Source organism: Homo sapiens, chromosome 8, assembly GCF_000001405.40.
Source record: "Homo sapiens chromosome 8, GRCh38.p14 Primary Assembly".
In the NCBI taxonomy this organism is placed as follows: Eukaryota; Metazoa; Chordata; class Mammalia; order Primates; family Hominidae; genus Homo; species Homo sapiens.
In genome coordinates, this window is record NC_000008.11 from 86,760,039 (window position 1) to 86,785,427 (window position 25,389).

At 36.8% G+C, this 25,389-nt stretch overlaps 1 long non-coding RNA gene across 1 annotated transcript; it reads left to right on the forward strand.

The window, feature by feature from the left end:
* The first annotated feature begins 3,200 nt into the window (after positions 1-3,200).
* On the forward strand, positions 3,201-23,936 carry CNGB3-AS1 (CNGB3 antisense RNA 1). Its single transcript, XR_001745726.1, has 5 exons — positions 3,201-3,227; positions 4,755-4,838; positions 5,579-6,059; positions 12,258-12,435; positions 23,835-23,936. It is a non-coding gene; the product is annotated as a CNGB3 antisense RNA 1 (long non-coding RNA).
* The last annotated feature ends 1,453 nt before the right edge of the window (positions 23,937-25,389 follow it).

The following is a 25,389-nucleotide window of genomic DNA, read 5'->3' on the forward strand; positions in this document are numbered from 1 at the left end:
AAAGTTTGATTTTAGGGGGAAGAATTTAACAATTTCACTTTAGGAAAAAGCACAGGAGAGAGTTTGGGAATTAGAATGCGTAGGTTAAGGTCCTAGTTCAATAAGTTAATGCCATTGATGTTTGTAAGTCATTTATAATTTCTTAGCCTCAATCTTTCTTTGTCTTCTTTAATGTAAGCTGTAATATGTATGTGTGTAATATATTTAAATGCAGAAAACAAATTTTCAATCTGACAAATAAGTATAAAGATCTATGAAACCACTAACAAGGTCAACAAATAAATGTCAAAACACCCCAGAAGAACTTGCTCTCATTTGTCCCTTCCAGACAATCATCTACTCCCCCACCATTCCACCAGGAGTGACCACTGTCCTGACTTTTATCATAATCCCTTTCTGACTTTTCTTTGTAGTTTTACCACTCATACTTGCATTTATAAATAAGAATTTTGCTGTGTTTGAACATTATATAAATGGATGTTTATTTGTTGAATATAATTATATATATGAGATAAATTTTGTTAATCATGTTGCTCAAGTCTCCCATATCCTTAGATTTGGTTTTCCTGAGATCTGTTGGGCTTCATAAATCTGTGACTTCGTGTCTGTGACAGACAACCTCCAAATGGTTCCCAGTGATCCCTGCCTCTTGGAGTTCACACCTTTAGGCACTTCCCTCTGACATTTGCAAGGGTTGGTTTGGGCAATCAATAGAATATGGCAGAGTCCCTTCTGAGATTAGGTCTTGGCTCCTCTGTTTATCTTACTCCTGCCCTCTCTTGGATCATTTTCTCTAGGCAAGTTGGTTGCCATGTTGTGAGCAGCCCCCTTGAAAGGCCCATGTGATGATGAATTGAAACCTCCTGTCAACAGCCATGTGAGTGACCTAGGAAGCAGATCCTGCAGCCCAGTCATGCTTCAGGTGACTGCAGCCCCAGCCACTATCTTGCCTGAAACCTCATGACAGGCTCTGAGCTAGAACAACACAGCTAAGTCACCTCTGGCTTCCTGATCTTATCTTTGTAAAATAGTGAATGTTCACTGTTTAAGTCACTATGTTTTGTTATGCAACAATAGATAACTCATACAGTGTTTCTCATAATTTCTCGAAAACTTCCAACCATATCTATACTAGTATTGTTCCTGCTGTGTTCTATTTTCTTTTTTGGTTCTTCTCATTAAAAAAAAAAAAAATCTAGCCTGGGCGCAGTGGCTCACGCCTGTAATCACAGCACATTGGGAGGCTGAGGCAGGGGAATCGCGAGGTCAGGAGATCGAGACCATCCTGGCTAACAAGGTGAAACCCAATCTCTACTAAAAATACAAAAAAATTAGCCGGGCATGGTGGCATGTGGCTGTAGTCCCAGCTACTTGAGAGGCTGAGGCAGGAGAATCGCTTGAACCCAGGAGGCAGAGGTTGCTGTGAGTCGTGATCATGCCACTGCACTCCAGCCTGGGCGACACAGAGAGACTCCGTCTCAAAAAAAAAAAAAAAAGAAATTCTAGGTTAGTTACTTTCCTTCTTTATTTTTCATTTTGTTTTGTCTCTTTGTGCTCCATTCTATTAGTTTGGCGCAAAAGTAATCGCAATTTTTGCCATTACGTTTAATAGATAATTTCTTCTTACTTACTGAACTTCATCAAATCTAAGACACCATTGAGTTTAAGAGAAACAAACTAAGACAAAATGTTTTCTTATCACACTGATGTAAAATAAAACGTATACAATTTCAAGGATATTGAGATAAAAATAGTTTTAAAATCAATTAAGTTGTCTATCATTCAGTTCATAAATTTCATCTCAGCTGTGTCTTCTCTGTTTTTAAACCAAGTGCAATTTTAGTTTTTAATTTTGTTTATTAAATTTAAATTTTAAAGTATTAAATTTTAAAATTTAATATTATTAAAAGTTAATATTTATTCCTTTTTTCAAATATCATTGGTCACTTTTTACATTTCCCTTTTTCCCTTTCTTCAGATTTGTATTTTTTAAATGTTATAATTATAAGTGTAGTTTTTTTATAGTCTGTGTTGGAGTGTCCCCAAGACCACCTCCAGGTTCAGTAATTTTCTAGAAGGAGTCACGGCATTCATTATACAGTCATACTCATGACTAAGACTTATTACAGGAAAAGAATACACCACAAAATCAGCAAAGGGGAACAGGTACATGAGTAGTCTGGAGGAAAACAAGAACAAGGTTCCAAGGGTTTTCTCCCAGTGGAGAAACATGGGACACACTTCTCATAGCAATGAGTCATGACCACACATATGAATGTTGAATGTTACTAACAATGGAAGTTCTTTAGAAACTCAGTGCTCAGGGTTTTTAATTGGGGGTGATCATATGGGCAACCTCTGCCTGGCACATACACAGACTCTCAGAAGGAGGACCGGAGTTCAGCATAAACCATACTGTTTGCACAAACAGTTTAGGCACAATGAGCTACTCTTACCAATGAGAGATGGTGGGAATCCTCCCAAGGTACAAGTTCCCATACACCAGCCAAGAGCTAGCCTTGTAAGTAGGCCTTTCAGAGAATAGCTGTAACTGTAATAGGTTTATCACTCCATGCACACAGCAAGTCAATATGCTGAGATGCCAGGTTGGAGCAGAGAAACGGGTTTAATTGTAGGGTCACCAAATGAGGAGATTGGAGGAAACCATAAATTCATCTCCCCAGGGAACTTGGGGTTAGACTTTTTAAGGACTTTGGAGTGGGTGGAAGTGCAGAAACCATTGATTGGTCAAAGAACGCAGGATGAAGACACGGGACAGGCAGATGAAGAAGCTGTAGTCTCATGCTGATCCTTCTGTGTAAGTTTTCTATCCATCTGTGTAAGTTTTCAAACTGGACGCTGACATTCAGGGTCTGAAAAACATCTTAAGCAATCCTTAAACAAAGACTTATGATTCTAATGTCAGAGATCCTGTCTATAGGAACAATGGGAATGCAAACCAATTTTTAAACAGTCTTATGACCGTAATGTCAGAAATTCTATCTATAGGCACACACTGGGGATGCAGTTGGTCAGAATCTAGTGTTAAGTGACTTTTAGCAGCAAAGAAGTCAGCCAAAGTGCAGCCTGATTAATGCTTAATCATATCTATATTTCTGTCCAGAACCTGGCATACAATTCTTGTCAGTCTTGCGGGGATGGCTTCATAGCAGTCAGCCCTGTTATGTTAATTCTTTTTTTGCATGTAGTCCCTGTCTGAAGTCTGTGTAAGTCTGATTTTGTATGTTGTTTCTTAAATTTTCTGCTAATCTTTCCCATGCAATCTAGTTTTCTGGTTATTTTTGTGCTGCTCCTGGTTATCTGTATGCTGTTAATCATATTTGAACAATACTTTGAAGGAATAATTTGAAGCACAGAATAAAGTTATTTTTCCTTAGAAGGAATTTGTTTTTTACATTACTTCTGTTTTGGATCATCTTAAACTAAGTTGAGAGCTTGAGGGTCTTTGGATAACTCTGGTGATTAGAACCTAAGCTGAAATTCTGGACAAGAGTAGCTTCACTTTTGGTTCATGCTTACACCCAGGGCAAATTCTTATTGTATCCCAGTTTATTGTGGCTCCTGGTTAACTAATGATCCTCTGTCATCCCTGGGGTTCATACCTTGATTCCCTACAGAAGTCATCCAAATGGAATTGCAAGTTTTTGTGGCTAGATAAATGCCTCCAAGGCAAAAGGATCTTCTGAGCTTGTTTACTTCTCTGGACTCCCATTTTCTCTTCAACTTTGGCCTGGTAATTTCCCACAGTTTGTCAGTTATTTTTCAACACTTCTAAGAAAGTACTTTTAATACTTTAATCAGCAGGATTGGTAGGGTTTGCTTGCTTACCCTCATTTTTCTCTCCTATGAAATGGAAACGATAATATTAATGGCACTTTTGCAATGATGTAATGATCATGAGTTATCATGATAACAAAAGAAAATACTTTACAGGCTTTTAAGCTATCTCTTACTACTGTAGACAGTCTGTCAACTTCTCCTCCCCTAACTGTACCACAGTGTATTTGTTAACTTGGCTTCTGTTCAGATGCATAAGAAGATGCATAAGAAGTTTTCTTTTTTCAAATGCCTAAGGAGAGAATAGATTTTTGTTTAAGAGAAAGCTCTTCTGACTCCTCTCCTCCATAATACTAGAAGGAAAAGAAAAAAGTGGGAAAATGGGGGAAGATGTAGGAAAGTCTCCTGGTCTAGCCCTGTGGAATGAAGGTGATCATCTGTGGGTGATCAGGAGAAACAGAATCTGCTCTGTGCAAGATGCTCTGTCTGACACTAGCACAAAAGCTATGCTGAAGCCCAGGGAACAGCGTGCCTAACTCTATATGTGAATTTTCTTTCTTGAGAACCCAGAGCCCATTTATACTGGAGGCATGGGCAGTGTAGTGGTTATCAACTGTAATGGTGGAAATGAGGCTTCTGTAAGCACTTTTTTAGGCAATATTTTTTTTATGGACAAGGGAGAGTCAGAGCAGGGAGGAACTTGCAAGAAGGAAGAAGGCAAATTACTTCTGCAGATAGTCTTGTTTATGATGTACTGCTTTGGGGACAATCAGAGATCAATGGAAGACACTTCAAGAGGGGCCGAGATTCTACTATAATGCTAGAGGGGCCTCTTAAATATTCCACAGTTGAGATGATAATAATAATACCAAGTGTTTACTTGGCATTGGCCAGATGCTGCTGACTGTTTCACCCTATTGTATGAGACAGGTGCTTTTACTATTTTCGTTTTACAGATGAGGCATATCTGAGGCACAGAGAGGTTAAGTTGGGGACTGAAGTGTGGCTCCAGAATCTAAGTTTCTAACTGCCATGCTATGGTAAGTGAGATTGGTAAGTGCACATGAGGAACTCGTGAGCCTCAAAGTCATTCATCAATGCAGCATTCAATGATGGCTTACATGAAGGTATAGAGGTAGGCTCATCACTTTTACCCAAACTCAAAAAACTGAATTTTTATTAAGAAAGAAGAAAGCATGGAAGATGGGCACCACCCTTCATAAATGGTCATTTAATTGGTTTTGGGTGCATCCCAGGAAATCAAATTTCAAAAGCTCCCTAGGTGATTCCAATGTGCAGTTAGTGTTAACAAATACTGTCGTAAGAATTTTTCTTTTTATATTAATTTAAATATCCATTAAAAGATAAGAACAGTTGAAACCACCTTTTCAAAATGATGACAGTAAGATAAATCTGATATAGTTGGCTCCATCTTGCTTCTGACCTCCTTTGGTCATTCCTGGATGTAGGCCAAGGTAACTGTGGGAGGAATTTAGTTTATAGTTTAACTTTGAAGCAAGGATGATAATAGTCTCTCCCTAAAACTACTCCCCTCCTTATTCAGGGGCTGAAAATACCTTTATCAAACTAATAAAAGGCCGCAAGATTAGGATTATGGGAGGGGCCTGAGTTCTGCTAAAATGTGGGCATAGTTTTCATAATCCCTTTCTGCTCAGGAGTCATGTGGCCAGAGGTCACAATGTTTGTGACTTCCCCAATTGCTCCTATAGATAACATCACATTGTGGAACCTAAGATTGTTCTTTTGAGATGTTTTTCAGACTGACCCCACTGGACTCATGACTCATGGACTCAGCTGGTCCTGTGGCCCTACCCAGAAGTGGACTCAGCACACGAGGACCATTTCCCACACTCCTGTGATTTCATCCCCAATTATTCAGCAGTACCCTTTCCATAGCCCCTTGCCCACCAAGTTGTCCATAAAAACCCTAGCCTCTGAGCTTTTGGGGAGATGGAGTTGAGTAATAACTCCATCTACTGCATGGCTGGCCTTGTGTCAATTAAACTTTTTTCTTTACTGCAATAACATGGTCTCAGTGAACTGATTTTGTTCATGCAGGAGGCAGGAAAAGCCCCTTGGGTGATTACACAGTGGTTCTCAAAGTATGGACCTCCAACCAGCAGCATCAGCAGCATCTGGATACTTGCTAGAAATGGAAATTCTCTGGCCCTATTCCAGGCCTTCCAAGTTGGAAACTTTGTGATGGGGCCCAGCACTCTGTGTTTTAACAAGCCCTCTAGGTAATTCTGATTCATGTTAAAGTTTGAGAATCACTGATTTTAGACAATTACCACAACTCACTTGCATGTAAGAAAGTTTTATTTTGAAGTCATTGTGTTTAATATTGGATTGCTAGCACAATTTACAATTGCAAAGACATGGACCTACCTAAGTGCCCGTCAACTGGTGAGTGGATAAAGAAAATGTGGTATATATACACCATGGAATACTACTCAGCTGTAAAAAAGAATTAAGTAATGTCTTTTGCAGCAACTTGGATGGAGCTGGAGGCTATTATTCTAAGTGAGATAACTCAGGAATGAAAAACCAAATATCATATGTTCTCACTTATAAGTGGGAGCTAAGCTATGAGTGCACAAAGGCATACAGAATGATATAATGAACTTTGGAGACTCAGAAGCAGGGATGGTGGGAGACAGGTGAGGGATAAAAAACTACATATTGGGTACAACGTACACTACTTGGGTGATGGGTGCACTAAAATCTCAGAATTCACCACTGTATAATTCACTCATGTAATCAAAACCACTTGTACTCCAAAAACAATTGATGTAAAAAATATCAGGGAACAACACATTCTGGGGCCTATCGGAGGGTGGAGGGTGGAGGGTGGGAGGAGGGAGAGGATCAGGAAAAATAACTAATGGATACTAGGCTTAATATCTGGTTGATGAAATAATCTGTACAACAAACCCCCATGATACAAGTTTATCTACGTAACAAACCTTCACATGTACCTCTGAACTTAAATAAAAGTTAAAATATTAAAAGAAAAGGAAATTTTAAAATATATACATTAAAAAGTAAAAACCAAACCAAAACAAAACAATATTAGATTGTCTAAATGGTTATTTTCCATCTTTGACAGCCAGTATTGCTGTGTTTATCTTTTGTATTTATTTCTTTATTTTACCCATCTAATTTACCTCATTTTTAGTTAATTTCTCACTATATCCCTGGTAAGTCCATACTGATGGATTTAGTCTAGATGAGATTGTGTAGTAAACTTTATGCTGCATTTTTCCTCTATGAGACTCAAATAGAAATTATGAATAATTTATCATCTACCAATGGACTGATAATATTTTGGTTAATAAGCCAGAAATGCAGGAAAACAGAGTAGCTTTTAATTAAGAAACTACATATGCCTCTGAGGAATAAATCAAGAGTTGGAAAATGGTATATAAAACCTAGTCTGTAACTTTTCTGAATTTTTTTTGTTATGTGAATTGTAGTAATTATTGCAGTTAGGGAAGTACACACTTGGGAAGCCAGCTGGTGACTTAGACAAGGTCAGAATTATTATTTGATAAGGTCATCGCATTCCTGGATCTGGTTCTCAGCTCTGTAGGCCCAGAAATTAATTTTTCAAGCTTGCTCTGGGGTGACATCCTCTGGGCATTCTTACCAAACCAAATCCCTAAGAGGCTGATGTGTTGTCCAGAATTCTAATTTATTAACTCATCATTTTAAATATTTAACTTTCAGGGACAGTAGAATGTTTGTATTGTTATACGTGAATTCTCTTTCTTCGCAGTAAAATTACATAAAAGGACAAATTATAATCAGACGTTTGCTTGGTGAGCATACAGTCAATCCAGGGAGAATGAATTGGATGATCAAATGTCTATTACATCCATCTTCGCTTGGGGCGCATTTGTAAGAGGGATTGGATACTTATTTCTGGGGTCGGGACATGTCCTTTCCTGGGTTGTCCTGGCTTCTTTCTTCTTAGAGACCCTTTACTGTCTTTCCTCTGGATCATTCCCTTTTCGTTAATATATTCTTTCTTTATAATGAAGACAATGCAATTTATTTGATTATATGTTTTAATAGTCCTTGTCTGTTGAGGCTGTGTCGTAATGAATACAATCCAAACATTACCGAACTCCCCAGTCAACAATTTATAGGATTTTTTTAAGGGTAGATGATTTCTTTATTTTTTATAGAAAACCATTCTAAGTTGCTTCCTGTTGATTTCCTATACTTTTATTTACTTTCAAAGTATAATTTGAATGCTGTGCGTGTGTGTTGTCTGTAGGAGTGGAGGTAAGATGTTTGGCTGTCATTCTGATGTATTTTTTCAAATCTAGGACACCATTATTCATGAGAAAAAGTGTATTTTAGAACTAAGAAAAAAAAACCTCTTCTGGTTATGATACAATGTTTTAGCACTTGGACTCTTTATTTTACACTTACAGGAAGAGCACTTTTAGACTCTCTTGCACATAGATTTTTAAAAAATCATATATCACTCCTCTTCATACTTAAAAAGGAAATAATAAGAAACATAAATTTATTGAAGTATTACTTAAATGTCATTACATAAGGAATCCTATTCTTCTGAATCATTTCTCAACTTAACAGTTATCGACAGGCATGTTTTCAATACAATGTCACTATTAGTGCCATTAAAAGCATTTATGAAGCTGTATTTATTTAAAAGTGCTCTATCACTGATAACCATTTTACAAATTTTAATGACAGTCCATTTCTATTTGACTACTCATTTTTTTTTTCTCCATTGAAGCGAACGTAGCTGAGCAGTAAGAACTTATCTTTAAAGTCATCAGGAAGTTTCTGACTAATGGTAGTCCTATGTAAAATTTGAATTGATCACACCAGAATCTTAGAGCTTTGAAATTTTTTCCCCATTTATTTGGAAAAAAATTGGCAATTTATCTCATCCTTAGCTGCATTGCTTGGTGTAGAGGGGTAATTCTTCAGTACCTTACAACATTGGCATGACCTGGGAGCTCATTAGAAATGCAGAATCTTTGGTTCCTCCTCAAACTTACTGAATCAGAATCTGCACATTTAGCATGATCCCCAGATGATTCAAGTTAGAAAAGCATTACTATGCATCATAGTTTTATCCACTTGTGGGATTTTTCCTTTATTAATTGCTATAATGTTCTTGGTTGCTCCTTTGCAGGAAAATTTGGATTTGTTGTTATTTCTCCAATAATGACTATTTAATCATTTCCAACACCCCTCTATTTCTGTGTCTTTATGCATACATAATTGTTTGATTTTGATGAATCACCATCTATGTTTTAAGACATTGTAAAAGATCATTACATTCCTTATGCCAACAAGTGCACATAATTCAATTGAAGTGATATAATATAAACAATATGAACAATAGCAGTCATGATCCCTGTTCATAGTGACTGTAAAATGACATGACTCAATTTTAAAGCTATTAAAATATGAGCAAAATATGTATGCTTTAGAATTGATGAAATATGTATGCTTTAGAATTGATTAACATTTTGTTAAGTACTAGGCTCTTTCCTACTCTTTGCTTCAGGCCTTTTGTCCTGCAAGGAAGGAAATGCCAATGGGGTTGGGATTGTATTTCCAGCCCTATATTTAAGGGATGAGAGCTTTCAGGCTGCAGAGATGGAAATAGTGAACAGAGCTGGGAGAATCCTGCAGGAGGGCAGACCAAGGCTGTGTCTGCAGAGTCAGTCATCCCATTTTGTGAAAATATTTATGTCTTTGAGTGTTCATCCTCAACACAGCAATAACAGCTTTCCCAACTATGTACAACAAAATTCTCCAGAATCTACATGGCTCTCTGAGTGGCCTTCTTAAATTGGATATTTGCATTACCACAAATTTAATCAGGTATAGTCAGTTGCTAGTCCCATAGAGTGGCCCAGGTGTAGGGACAGGGGTAAAAATCTGGTCAAATTAACTTGGCTGGTGTAAAATAGGGATATATATTCACTTTACTCCAGAATAGCTGGATTGCTCACTCCATAATTTTTTCTTGGTGTATTCTCAAATGATTCAGGGCTGTTGTGTAGTCAAAGCATTAAAAAGTTGGAATATTGAGCATAGAACAATCCAAGTTTATCCACATGAAAGCTTTCAGATCTTAAATGACTCCATATTTGATTGTCATACAGTCATTTTTTTCTCTCTCTGTTACCAAACATCCTCCTCAGAGACTTATGTATCATGCATTGATGGGAAATGTATTCTTCTGAACTTTAGTATGTCTTTCAAGATCTTTAGGATAATATTCACACTGAAAGACAACGCATGTAATATTTACTAGGTTTACTTATTTTTATTTTTAATTAAAAAATAGAATCAGAGCTTATGCTATTTACTAGATTTAATTTTCCTAAATAGAATGTATGATCTTTATCTGTCTCTTTAGATATTTTTGTATCTGGAGTAAGTGGTTACCTGTGAATAGGTGGGAGGAGGCACATCTATTTTGTGGAAAAGGTCCTATAAGTCTCAGAGCTCTTATGCATCAAAGAAAGAGAAAGTTTTGTTTTATTTTCTTTTTCCAATAGAGAACAAAAATAAGAGACTAATTACTTGGATCTGCCTTTAGTAACCTGTAGCTTCTTGGAAAGCTAAAATGTGCCATGATATCTGTATTAGTCAGGGTTCTCTAGAGGGACAGAACTAATAGGCTAGATGTATATATGAAGGGGAGTTTACTAAGGAGAATTGACTCACACCATCACAAGGTGAAGTCCCATAATAGACCATTTGCAAGCTGAGAAGCAAGGAAGCCAGTCCAAGTCCCAAAACCTCAAAAGTAGGGAAGCTGACAGTGCATGCTTCAATCTGTGGCTGAAAGCCAGAGAGTCCCTGACAAACCACTGGTGTAGGTTTAAGAGTCCAAAAGCTGAAGAACTTGGGGTTTGATGTTTGAAGGCAGGAAGCATCCAGCATGGGAGAAAGATAAAGGCTGGAAGATTCAGCAAGTCTGTTCTTTCCAACTTCTTCTGCTTGCTTTATTCTAGCTGTCCTGGCAGCTGATTAGATGGTGCCCACCCAGATTGAGGGTGGGTCTGCCTCTCCCAGTCCACTGACTCAAATGTTAACCTCCTTTGGCAACACCCTCACAGACACATCCTGGAACAATACTTTGCATTCTTCAATCCAATCAAGTTGACACTCAGTATTAATCATCACAATATCAAAGAGATGTATTCCTTAAAGCCCTCCTACTTTCTGCACCCCTCCAATACTTCTTAATTCTGCATTGACACTGAGACTCCTGTTCTTTTTCCATAATATTTAAAGCTTGCTATCATAAAAATCACATTAACTAGTTCCAATTGGAACTTGAATATCAAATAGTTAGAGGGCAGACCTAGAATAGTTAAAAATTAAAAACAAAAGAAAACAAAACAACTTTAATCAAGTGGTCATTATATATAAAATTTAAAATTTGAGAAGGGTGAATTTATTGTTATTAAATTCGTTAGGAGTTATGCAGCTTTATTTTCCAAATCATTATTCTTTCACTGGAATGAAATCGTATTTACTTATTATGAGGACTCTATTCTGATATTATTTGCTTACTTTAATGAGTGTCTTCTTCACTGTATTCACCTGGTTCTATTGAAAGATATCTGTAAACTCTTTCTATTGTACAATTACAAGGTTACAGGACACCAGACCTTTCTAAGATGCTGGCATAAAACCAAGAATATACTTGTACTTCTGTTTCATCACTGTACTTTGAAACTAACTTTTAAATTAACATGTAAAAAAAATTGATAGCTGTTTACAAAATATAAAGTGGGTAGCTTTGCAATATGGCTTTTTAAATAAAGATTTAAAGTGCATTCAAAAGCATGTTTAGTGCAGAAATATGTGAGAAGTATTAGAAATACAGGCAAGTGGAAAGGACTATAACTAACCCAAACGTCTACTGTTCAGAGAGAAGCATTGTGAAAACCAGTTTTCTCATCTTTTCTCTCTTTTCAAATGGGTAGATATGAACATAGATATCTACTGATAAACACATATAATATTTAGAATTAACTGCACATGCCATACTGCTTTTTTATTTAATAATAACATATCATAAACCTGGTTTCATGTCAGTAAATATTATAATGTTACTTCCAAGGTGGTATTCGTGGTGTGGATTTAACATTGTTAATTAAGCAAACTCCTTAATGTTGGACAATGTAACATGAAGTGGACATTTACTAAAAGAGATCCTGGTCACCTTGAACTTTGAGTATGAGGCTGTGCTTACATACACAAGGGTTTGGAAAGTGCAAAGAAAAATAGGGTTCAGTGGCGAATTATATGTTGCATATCTGCAAGATATGCAAGAAAATAAATTGTACTCAACTTTAAAGTTAAGGAGTGGGGACAATATGCATGTAAAATATAATAGGATAGAATTTTCTTTGTCATTCATACAGCCTTAAGGAAAACAACTCTGAGGACTTTTGTCACGGACTTGAAATTCTCATCTGTGCTTGGACAAGACTCTGAAACATACCAACTGTGTATTTTCCTGCCTTTGGTAAATCTGGAGCTATTAACTGATTCTAAAGAACATTTGACTTAAAAAGACTATGGAAAGCCCAAAGAATAAAGGTAAAATTTTCAAAGTTGTTCAACCTTGAAACAGTATAATCATAGGTGACTGTCAACAAATACTTAGTTCATACCATAGCAATTATGATGTGGCATAAGTAGATACTAAAATGCTTTTTTCTTCCTGGCGTCATAATGAACTTTCATATTTATTGAAGGATAATATTTTCCTCTGAATAATTTCAATTTTTAATCAATATCCTACATCTGCTATTTTAATAACACATTTTAAAATGATTGGATTTAAATATACTCACTTAAATTTCCTCACCTAAAGATGTACAGATGCTTCTTGAAAGCTCTTCCTGATGATTTCATACACACACATACACATACACATGTATACATGCATGCTGTCTTATTTAATGGCATATAAGACTACAGCTTTTAGGAAGTTGTACTACTCCATTCAATTATTTCTTCCCCCCTACTTATGTACACATTCCTCAACTTGTTGCACTAATATAATTATAAAAAAGGCATAATCATTTTCCTTCAGGGCCTTATAATTTATGTCCTAGGGTTATACTCATGTAGACATAGAAAATACTAATAAAAAGGCAGTTTATATAAGGAAACGTTATTAAAAAGTACTCTGGGAATATTGGGGTGATAAGATAAATTTAGTTCTGATTAGCCAAAGTTTCTTGAAGAAATCAAGATTCAAACTATGTCTTAAAGGAAGAGCAAAACTTCCATAGGAAGAGAAGTATCAGGAGGAGAGGTCTTATAAGTGCCCATGGCCCTACTCCTGTGACACTATCTTCTGTCTCCCTGATGCACCTATGGCCTCACTGGCAGTTCCATATAATCAGTTGACAAGGAAGAGGAGATGACTTGTTTACAGATGATTCTCTGTATGATATGCAGGCACCACCTGAAAGTGGACAGCTGCAGTACTACAGCCCTTCTCAGGGACAGCCCTGAAGGACAATGGTGAAGGGAAATCCTGTTACCTAGAGATTTTAGTTCCAGAAGAAGGAATACTTTCACCCAGGAGTCACAATGATTCCATTGAACTGGAAGTTATGACTGACACCCTGCACTTTGGGCTTCTCATGCCTCTGAATCAATAGACAAGGAAGGGAATTACGGTGTTTGCTGGGGTGTTAGATCCTGACCACCAAGTGGAAGTAAGGAAGAGTATGCCTGGCATACAGGATATCCTTTAGTGCATCTCTTAGTATTACCTTAGTAATTAAAATCAAAGGAAAATTACAGCAATCCAATCCAGGCAGGAGTGTGAATGGCCTTGAGGAATAAAGGTTTGTGTCATGCCACCAGGTAAAAAACCATGATCATCTGAGGTGCTTGCTAAAGGCCAAGGGAAATCAGAATAAGTAGTAGAACAAGGTAGTTATAAATGCCAAATATGACCAGTTACTGTAATTGTTATGTGTATTTCCACTTTATTAAGTTATGAATTCATTTTTTGAGTATATATACCTAGATTAGGCATATATCTTTGTATTCTTTCCTCTCTTATCCCCTTGTCATGTATAAGATGTGTTGACCTTAATAACAGTATTTAAATATTACTAATTTTACATCAGAGTGTCAAATTATGGGCTATCAGGAGGAGAGTAAATACCACTCAAAACTTTTATCTCCTCTTCTGGGGAAGGGGTTAGTGTGTTTTTGGCTATATGCAGGATATTTGTATTATGGTAGGTAGATTGTTACTGTCTTCATTTGAAGATCAAGTATGGCTTAAGGAGCTGTGTATGGGTGCTGAGTTGACAAGCATGGATTTGTAATGGTTAATTTTATGTGTCAATTTGACTGGATTTAGGTATGTGCAGATGGCTGGTAAAACATTATTCCTGGGTGTGTTTGTGAGTATGTTTCTGGAGGAGATTGGCATTTGAATTAATAGACTGAGTAAAGAAGTTACACTTTCACAATTTGATTGGGCATTATTTAATCGGTTGAGGGCCTGAATAGAAGAAAAAGACAGAGGAACAGCAAATTTGCTCTCTCTGCATGAGCTGGGACATCCATCTACCCCTTTTCTCAGACCTTACCATTACTAGTTCTCAAGCCTTTGAGCTGAGACCAAGACACTACCTGCCCTCTTGAGTCTCAGGACTATGAGTTTGGACTAGAATGACATAACTGGCTTTCCTGGGCCTCCAGTTTGCAGACAGCAGATTGTGGGACTTCTCAGACTGTATAGTTGCATGAACCAATTCCTCATAATAAATCTCTTCTATGTCTGTATCTATGTATATACCTATATCCCATTGGTTCTGTTTCTCTGAAAAACTCTAATACAATAGGATTAAGTGTGAGGATTTTGGATTCAGACAGAAAAAGCTCAAATTTACCTTTTCTCTGTTCTGAATTCATAAGCTCTTTAAATCTGTTTCTTCACATAAAGAAGAGAAAAATACAATGGATACTGTCTAACTCATAGCCCTTTTGGGAAGATTAGTGGGACAACATTTGTGCCAAAATAAACATTCAATAAATTTCAATGGTGACTTGTCGAATCCAAGCTCTAGCACCTGAGACACAGGGCTGACACATAATAGTGGCTCAACAAGTATTTCTTAATGAATGAGTTATGCTAGAAAGATCAGCTGGAGCAAAAAAATAGAGGTATACATCGGGTAAGCTAGGAGAATGGTGACAAAATTTGTATGATTGACCATAGGGAGAGTAGTGATGATGTGGATCAGGTGAGTTTTGTTTGTATGAATAGGTGGCATTGAGGGAGGTAATGAAGGAATGAGCCAGGTCAATGTCAGTGGAGTCAGAAGGAGACAGATATCAGACTATGAACTATTTAAAGAAATTTATGATTGTTTTGACGTAGTGTGAGGGAGAGAAAGGTATAAAATGACTCTGATATTCATATGAGAAAATTTCCAAAGAGTAGAGTTAATCCATTCTGTTTAGATATCACACGTTTGATGTCTTTTGGGGCAGCTTATTTACCATAGAATAAAGGCACAAATGCTGAGATTGGAGGCAGAAACCTTAATGCTTCTTACTTGGGTCTTCCACTTAATATGTGTGCTACTTTAGGGAAGTTAGTACACCTCTTTAAGCCTCATTTTCTCAATTTCTAAAATAGGAATGATTATTGTTATGAACTGAATATTTTCCTGTCTTAAAGTTTATATGTTGGAATCTAGTTCCCAATGTGATGGTATTTGAGGTGGGGCCTTTGGGAGGTAACTAGGTAATGAGGATGGAGCCATATCATGAAAGGCATTAGTGCCCCTATAAGAAGGAGCCAAAGAGATGGTAGCTCACTCTTTTTCTGACATGTGAGGTCATAACAAAAAGTCATTAGTCTGCAACTCAGAAGATGACCTTCACCATAACTTGACCATGTTGGCACCCTGATGTCAGACTTCTGGCCTCCAGAATTGTGAGAAATATATTTCTGTTGTTTACAAGCCACCCAGTCTATGGTACTTTGTTGTAGAAGCCCAAACTGACGGAGACAATAATATTCATAGTTTTTGTTTGCAGAGAATGAAATGTTATACAGAATTAATTGCTCTTGCTTGATTTAGGTCCAGAGATTTTGAAACAAGGTAAAATAAGAGGTAGGCTTTAGAATATTAGAGATAATTGATTTGGCAATAGGAATTGTTAGGAAAAAAAATTAGGTAGTTACAAGTACATTTAAGTGAAGTTGCAAACCAAACGATTAGGAGGATGTAAGCTCTGCAAGGGCAGGGACTTTATTTTCTTTGCTGCTGTATTTTTAGTACCCAAAAGAGTGTTAAACACATACAGGTTGAGTATACCTATTTAAAATCCAAAACATTTTTACAACCAATTTTTTTGAATTTATTATAATCTTGCTTCTCTACAACTAATGATTCTCATGGTTTTAAACCATGTCTGCCTTTATTTACCTACACAAACACAGAATAGCATTTCCAATAGGAGAGGCTCACACAGAAAACGAAGTATAGAGTGTATGACCTCAATAAGGCATTCAGGAAAGGTTTAAGCCATCTTTCCCTCTGACCAGATTCCCTTAGGTGCTCTGATGTTGGTGTTTCATTCTTCCAAAAGGAGAATCAAATCTCCAATCAGCCTGTGTTCTCTGCCATGTGTCACTCTCATAATATCAGAAGTGAATCTTCAATTCTTTATTACTTGGGGAAACATGTCTTTGAGGTAACTGCAGTTTGCCAACTTGCACATCCAGAAGTGTTTTGGATTTTTTCAGATTTTGGAATACATGCATTACATTTACCATTTCAGTATGCCTACTTCAAAAATCTCTAATGAGTGTTTTCTTTGAATGTCATGTCAGTATTCAAAAGGCTTAAGATTTTGGAGCATTTCAGATTCTAGACATTCAGATTGGGATGCTCAACCTGTAGGAGGCTCTCAATAAAGATTCATTGTAAGAATAAACAAACAATAGCCATGGAGTTGTAGTTCTGAGGAAGCCAGGAAAGAATACTTAGTTTGGATACTAAAAAGAAACTGGAGAGTGTAGTCAATAGAATTGGAGATAAAGAACATTGGTGATGCTTAGATATATAAATTTTTTTCAGACTAAGGTGGAGGACAGCACAGGAAAGAAAAGCAGAATAAATAAGAACTGACTACTCATGAATCAGGTTTGTAGGAAAATAAAGGTTAGCACTAGAACTATCAGCTTAGAGGGGATGGAGTTAATGTTGGCCCTGTGCTCTTCTCATCTGTACACATTGGATAATATCATCTATTCCATGCCTTTAAAGCATGTCTATTGGAGTATGACTCTTGAATCTCATTCTAAAACTGAAATCTCTTTTAAGATCTTAACCTATATAACCAATGACCTGTTACTAAATATCACCATTTGGATTCCACAAAAAAGCCCAGGCTCAAGTGTAAAAACCTGTACTTGTTTTCCTTCCCCAAATTACTCCTTATATATTTTCTATCCTTGTGACTGGCACCTTCAACTATCTACTGCCCAAGTCAGAAAATTAGCATTTCCCACCACATTAAAAAATCCAACCATTCACTCAAGTTATAAAGGACAGAATCCCACTCAATGAATTAGCTCTAAAATATATAGGGCTTAGGGATATAAAGAGAGTTTTTTCACCCAAGCACAGAAAAATTAATGATAATTCAAATGTTTTCTTACAAATAAGATGTTTAGGAAAGGCCAGCTGGTACTCTAGATGAGATATTACAGATTTAACACTTCGAGATAAAACTTCGCTTTGCTTATATTTTACACTATTATTTTCCCAATGCTTAGCACAGTGCCTGGAATATAGGAAGGGCACAATGAACTTAACTGGGACTCAGAAGATGCTTGGTGATCACAGAATGGGAGGAAAAGAAAATATATAAACTAATGAAACATGTACTAACAAGAAGAATTATCTTTAAAGAGCAAAGGGGTCCTATTGACCAAAATCTTAATTTTGGTCTCTGTCCTGAAGACAGAGTTGGTATCTGTGTTAGTCGGTTCTCACACTGCTATAAAGAAGTATCTGAGACTGGGTAATCTATAAAGAAAAGAGGTTTAATTGGCTCATGATTATACAGGTTGTACAGGAAGCATGGCTTGGGAAGCCTCAGGAAACTTACAATCATGGCAGAAGGTAAAGGGGAAGCAGGCACGTCTTATACGGCTGGAGCAGGAAGAAGAGAGGGAGGGATCCAGTGCCACACACTTTTAAACAACCAGATCTCAGGGGAACTCTCTGTCACAAGAACAGCAAGGGGGAAATCTGCCACCATGATTCAATCACCTTCCATCAGGACCTTCCTCCAACAATGGGGATTATAATTTGACATGAGATTTGGGTGGAGACACAGATCCAAACTATATCAGTATCTTACTTCTAGTGTGCCTCTCTTCTTTACATACCAACATGGATGTGTGAATCTAATTATTTCTTACTTTTCCATTGTTCACTTCATGTTCCTCTTTACCTTACATTAATATTTGATTGTTCATAATAAGGTATGGGACATATCTTGCATATTTTCAGACTCTGACTGGCATATTCTCTGCCCAGAGGTAAGATCCACAGGAAGATACATTATACCATTTTTATTTTGCCTTGCCTTGTAAGAGGTAGTCACAGCAGTAGTACAAAGGGAGGTAGGTGATGGTGATTTATAGCTTTAAAAAATCTTATTAGAAAATGACAAAGATTAAAAACAAGCCGGCTACACATTCAATTTACAAAATTAGGAATAGAGAATTGAACAAACCCAAATAAGCAGGCAAGAAATAAATAATTAAGGGCATAGATCTGTGAAATATAATACAAAATAATAGGTACATGTAACTAAACTCCAGACATATTCTTGAGATGATTGATCACATAATGAGATCTCTGACAAGACTGACAAACAGAAAAAAAGAAAAACAACATGTAAATAGGCAAAACAGAATGAAAAAAGAAAAAATATCATTCACAACAGATTAATAATAGACTATTAAGATATTATACTTTAGTTAATTTAAAATTTAATATGAAACATATGCCTACTTGAAAAAACATAAAAGACCACAAAATTAAAAGAAATAAAAAATTAAATAAACTAATAAATGTGTAAATAATTTGAAATCATATTCAAAGGCTCCCTTTCTGAAACTTCTGGGCCAAAGTTCTAGCAAATCTTGAAGAAACTGTTATTCCAAACATAAAAATTCTTCTAGAAAATGAAAAATTAGCAAAATCTGCCTACGTATTTTATGTCGTTAGATTAAGCCTGATTTCAAACTCGATGGAGAGAGCACAAGAGAAAATGTCTACTTACAAACACAGATGTGAAACTCCTTAATAAAATGTTAATCAACAGAATTCAAAAGTGTATCAAAAATAATACATCATGAAAAATAGTTTATCTAGGAATACAGTAAAGTTTCAATATTAAAAACACTCTAAGAATTAAATTTGCCCATTAATTGACTAAATGTAAAAAAAAAATCTTAACAATTGCAAAAAACCCACATTTGATAAATTCTATTTATTATAATACCCTTATGAGATGAGAGATATTTAAAAGTCTTCATTTTGAGAGATTATGTAACACGTTTTATTAATTCCACCTGCTCTGTGTCTTCACCCAAATCTTATCTTGTAGCTCCCATAATTCTCACGTGTTGTGGAGGGGACCTGGTGGGAGATTATTGAATTACGGGGGTGGGTCTTTCCTGTGCTCTTCTCATGATAGTGAATTGCCTTGCACAAGCTCTCTCTGTGCTTGCTTCCATCCACATAAGATGTGATTTGCTTCTCCTTGCCTTCTGCCATGATTATGAGGCCTCCCCAGACATGTGGAACTGTAAGTCCAATAAACCTCCTCCTTTTGTAAATTGCCCAGTCTCGGGTAAGTCTTTCTCAGCAGCGTGAAAATGAACTAATACAGTACATTGATACCAGTAGAGTGGGGCGCTGCTGAAAAGATAGCCAAAACTGTGGAAGCGACTTTGGAACTGGGTAACAGGCAGAGGTTGGAACAGTTTGGAGGGCTCAGTAAAAGACAGGAAAATGTGGAAAAGTTTGGAATTCGCTAGAGACTTGCTGAATGGCTTTGACCAAAATGCTGATAATGATATGGACAATGAAATCAAGGCTGAGGCGATCTCAGATGGAGATGAGGAACTTGTTGGGAACTGGAGCAAAGGTGACTCTCATTATGTTTTAGCAAAGAGACTGGTGGCATTTTGCCCCTGCCCTAGAAATCTGTGGAACTTTGAACTTGAAAGAGATGATTTAGGATATTGGGTGGATAAAATTTCTAAGCAGCAAAGCATTCAAGAGGTGACTTGTGTGCTATTAAAGGCATTCAGTTTCAAAAGGGAAAGAGCACAAAAGCTTGGAAAATTTGCAGCCTGACCATGTAATAGAAAAGAAAATCCCATTTTCTGAGGAGAAATTCAAGATGGCTGCAGAAATTTGCATAAGTGATGAGGAGCTGAATGTTAATCACCAAGACAATGAGGAAAATGTCATCAGGGCATGTCAGAGACCTTTGCTACAGCCTCTCGCATCACAGTCCCAGAGGCCTAGGAGGAAAAAGTGGTTTTGTGGCCTGGGCCCAGGATCCCTGTGCTGTGTGCAGCCTAAGGACTTGGTGCCCTGAGTCCTAGTTGCTCCAGCCATGGCTGAAAAGGGCCAATGTAGAACTTAGGCCATGGCTTAAGAGGGTGCAACTCCCAAGCCTTGGCACCTTCCACATGGTATTGAGCCTGCGAGTGCACAGATGTCAAGAATTGAGGTTTGGAAATCTCTGCCTAGATTTCAAAGGATGGATGGAAATGCCTGGACGACCAGGCAGAAGTTTGCTGCAGGGGCAGGGCCCTCATGGAGAACCTCTGCTAGGACAGTGCTAAAGAGAAATGTGGGGTCAGAGCCCCCAAACTGGGGCACTGCCTAGTGGAGCTATGAGAAGAGGGCTACCATCCTCCAGACCCCAGAATGGTAGATCCACTGAAAGCTTGTACTGTGCACCTGGAAAAGCCACAGACACTCTATGTCAGCTGTGAAAGTAGCCAGGAGAGGGGCTATACCCTGCAAAGCCACAGGGGTGGAGCTTCCTGAGACTATGGGAACCTACCTCTTGAATCAGCATGACCTGGATGTGAGACATGGACTCAAAGGAGATCATTTTGGAGCTTTAAGATTTGACTGACCCACTGGATTTCAGACTTGCATGGGGCCTGTAGCCCCTTTGTTTTGGCCAATTTCTCCCATTTGGAAGGGCTGTATTTATCCAATGCCTGCACCCCCATTGTATCTAGGAAGTAACTAATTTGCTTTTGATTTTATAGGCTTATATGTGGAAGGGACTTGCCTTGTCTCAGATGACACTTTGGACTGTGGACTTATGAGTTAATGCTGAAATGAGTTGAGACTTTGGGGGACTGTTGGGAAGGCATGATTCATTTTGAAATGTGAAGATATGAGATTTGGGAGGGGCCAGGGGTGGAATGATATGGTTTGGCTCTGTGTCCCCACCAAAATCTCATCTTGTAGCTCCCATAATTCCCACATGTTGTGGGAGAGACTTGGTGGGAGATGATTGAATTATGGGGGTGGGTCTTTCCCATGCTGATCTGGTGATAGTGAATGAGTCTCATGAGCTCTGATGGTTTTAAAAATGGGAGTTGCCTTGCACAACCTCTCTCTTTGCCTGCTGCCATCCACGTAAAACATGACTTGCTCCTTCTTGCCTTCCACCATGATTGTGAGGCCTCCCCATCCATGAGGAACTGTAAATCCGATACACCTCTTTCTTTTGTAAATTGCCCAGTTTCAGGTGTGTCTATCAGCAGTGTGAAAATGGACTAATACAACAGGTATACTTAATGTAAAAATGACATATTTTCTTCAAGATCAGAAATAAGACAAGAATTTCCACTGTCAGTGTCAAATGTTTTACATAATACTGGCTGTTATGGCAAATACCATAAGTAAAGCAAAGAATAAAAGAGGTATAAGGATTAGTAGGAGAGAGATGTATCTGTTATTTGCAGATATTGTGATTATCTTCTACGAGCTGAGTACCTCTCATCCAAAATGACTGAGACTACAAGTGTTTCAGATTTTAATTTTTTTGGAATATTTGCATATACCTAATAAGGTATCTTGGAGATGGGGCCCAAGTCCAGACAAGAAATTTATTTATGTTTCATACACACTTTATACACATCGTCTGAAGTTTATTTTATATAATATTTTAAATAACTTTGTGCATAAAACAAAGTTTTAACTGTGACCTGTCACGTGAGGTCAGGTGTGGAATTTTCCACTTGTTATGTCATGTTTGTGCTCAAAAGGTTTTGGATTTGGGAGCATTTCAGATTTTGGATTTTTGGATTAGGGGTGCTCAACTTGTATGTCAGTTTCCTAGGGATGACATAACAAATTACCGCAAACTGGGTGACTTGAAACAGTAGAAATTTATTCTCTCACATTTCATGAGACCAGAAGTCCAATGTCAAGGTGTCAGCAGGGTTCCTTCAGGAGGCTCTGAGGGGCAATCTGTTCTGTGCCTCTTTCCTAGTGTTGGTGGTTGCTGGGAATCCTTGACATTCTTGGCTTCTTGACACAGCACTCCAATCACTGTCTTCATTATCACATGGCTGAATTCTTCATCTGTGTGTCTTTACATGGCCTTCTTATAAGGACATTAGTCATTGGATTTAAGGCCCACTTAATCCACTATGACCTCATTTTCACTAATTACATTGGCAAAGACCCTGTTTCAAAAAGAGTGACAGTCTTAGGGAGAGGGTGGATATAAATTTTGGGGGAACACTGTTCAACCCAGTACATCTACACAGGAAAAAAATCCAACAGAATCAAGAGACAAATTCAGAATGCATATGCAAAATTGCCAGACAGAACCTCAACATTTAACAATCAATAACATTTCTCTATACTATGACCATCTAGAAAATATAACCAGAAATAAAGTATTTACAATAGCCACAAAATTCATAGACCTTATAGGAATAAACATATTAAAAAATATATAAAACATTTATGAAGAAAATTCAAAAGCTCTATTAAAGTATATTTTAAAATTTGAATAAAAAGAGAATAATAAATTAATAAATAATAAATCATAAATAAATTTGAATAAAAAGAATAATCTTCAATGGGATGGCTTAATATGATAAAGATGTGTATGTGCATTCTCTTATTAATTATAAATTCAATGAAATTCCAATCAAAACCTATCTTTTATAAGGAGCATGATAAACTTATTCTAAAATTGATATGGAAGAATAGAGAGCAAGAAATAGGAAAGACAATTTTGAAAGAGAGTAGTAAATGAGGAAAAGCTGAATATTTTAAAAGAACACATGCAAATAAAAAGGTAAGCATCAAACATGTTAGAATAGATGCCTATAGGAGGTGAAGGAAATGGGAATAGAGACCAAAGGTCATAAATACACACAAAAAGGAAAGCCTTCGCTCTGGCCAATGGTAGAGAGTATGAATGAACTGAAGCTTAAAATAAGTTGCTCAGCGAGCACAGTATCAGAACAATGCCATTTCTTCAATGATTTCCATCTCAATAGAAGGAATAGAACATTTAACGGCATTTCCATGTATTAGAGATCTGTGTGCCAGCTCTCTATATCTCTACAATGTTATCTTACTATTGTCTATCTAGCTCAGTTTTCTAGTGCTGCCATTAACAAATTACCACAAACTTGGTGGTTTAAAACAACAGAACTATTTTTTCTCCCAGTCTGGAGGCCAGAAGCCCGAAATGAAGGTGAGTTCAGGGTTGGTTCCTTCTTAAAGCTCTGAGGGCAAAACCATTTTATGCCTCTCCTAGCTTCTGGTGGGTGCCAGTAATCCTTTGTGTTTCTTGACTAGTAGACACATCACTCCAGTCTCTGTCTCCATCTTCAAATTGCCTTCTTACCCATGTTTCCTCTATTCTAGGGACACTTGTCACTGGATTGAAGGCATATTCTAATTTAGGACAATGTCTTGAGATCTTTAACTTAACTACATTTGCAAAGACCCAATTTCCAAGTAACTGGAACATTCGTAAGTTCAAGTTAAACATGTCTTTTGTGGGGAGCAGCCATTCAATTCATGGAACTATCTTTATACCTAATTAAGCACTGTATCATATAATCCTTACATGTGGAGTATCGTCTGCATTTAAGAGATAGTTAATTGACGCTCAAGGAAATCTGTATCAGCTTGTTTGCATTTCTTCCTCACTCCTCACTTAAACCTGATATGATTTCTGCTTCCTTTTTTTTTTTTTTGCTTAACTGTTAGCTGCCTTGTCCAAGTAGACAAGACTAAAAGATTTTTTTAAGAATCTTAAAAAAATTTAAATCTTAAAGAAAAAGATTTAAATCTTAAGAAAAAATCTTAAAAGATTCTTAAAGTATCTTTAATGTTAAAATCAAACAAGCATTAATAAATGCCAAAAGGAAAACGTACATCACTGTCACAGATTATAATTTAATAAAGTTAGAAATTAATTTTAAGAAATTTAAACAAAAAATGCCAAACCATTTTGAAATTTGTGAAAGGTATACTCCTAAGGAAATCTTACGTGGAAGAGATATATAACAGCTATTGAACACAGCTCCAAAAAATTTTTACTCTAATAATATATGATCAAAGCTATATTCTTAGTAACATTCCTAGTAGAAAATAATTATAATTTTGAATGGAACAACAAGGAATGGAAGCAAATGGAAAATTCAACATCAGAAGCTAGACAAATAAGACAAAGTTCAATAAAGAAGAAACAAAATGTAACAGATAAAATAATGAATTATGTTCCTAAGTATTTTATTATTATCATGCTACTGATTTGTGTACATTGATTTTGTATCCTGAAACTTTACTGAATTTATTTATCAGATTTGGAGGCTTTTTAGGGTCTTTATGGTTTTCTAGGTATATCATCAGCAAACAGCAACAGTTTGACTTCCTCTTTTCCAGTTTGGATGCCCTTTATATTTTTATCTTGTCTGATTGCTCTGGAAGGAGGAAAAAGATCTCTATAAGAAAAACTACAAAACACTGCTGATCATAAATGACACAAACAAATGGAAACAGCTTCCATGCTCTGGATGGGTAGAATCAATATTGTGTAAATTACCATACTGCCAAAAGCAATCTACAGATTCAGTGCAATTCCAATCAAAATACTATCATCATTCTTCACAGAACTAAAAAAAAAAAAAAAAAATCCTAAAATTCATATGGAACCAAAAAAGAGCCTGCATAGCCAAAGCAAGACCAAAAAGAACAAATCTGGAGGCATCACATTACCTGGCTTCGAACTATATAATACAAGGCTATAGTTATCAAAATAGCATGGTACTGGTATAAAAATAAGCACGTGTAATTTCCCTATTAGAGAAGTTTTCTCATTTCTTTTTCAGGGGCTTGTGGTCTCTTGCTTCCTCTGTTGTCTGTCTGTGGTACTGCAACAAGCTGATGAGCTCTCTTTTGTTTTCTGAGGTTC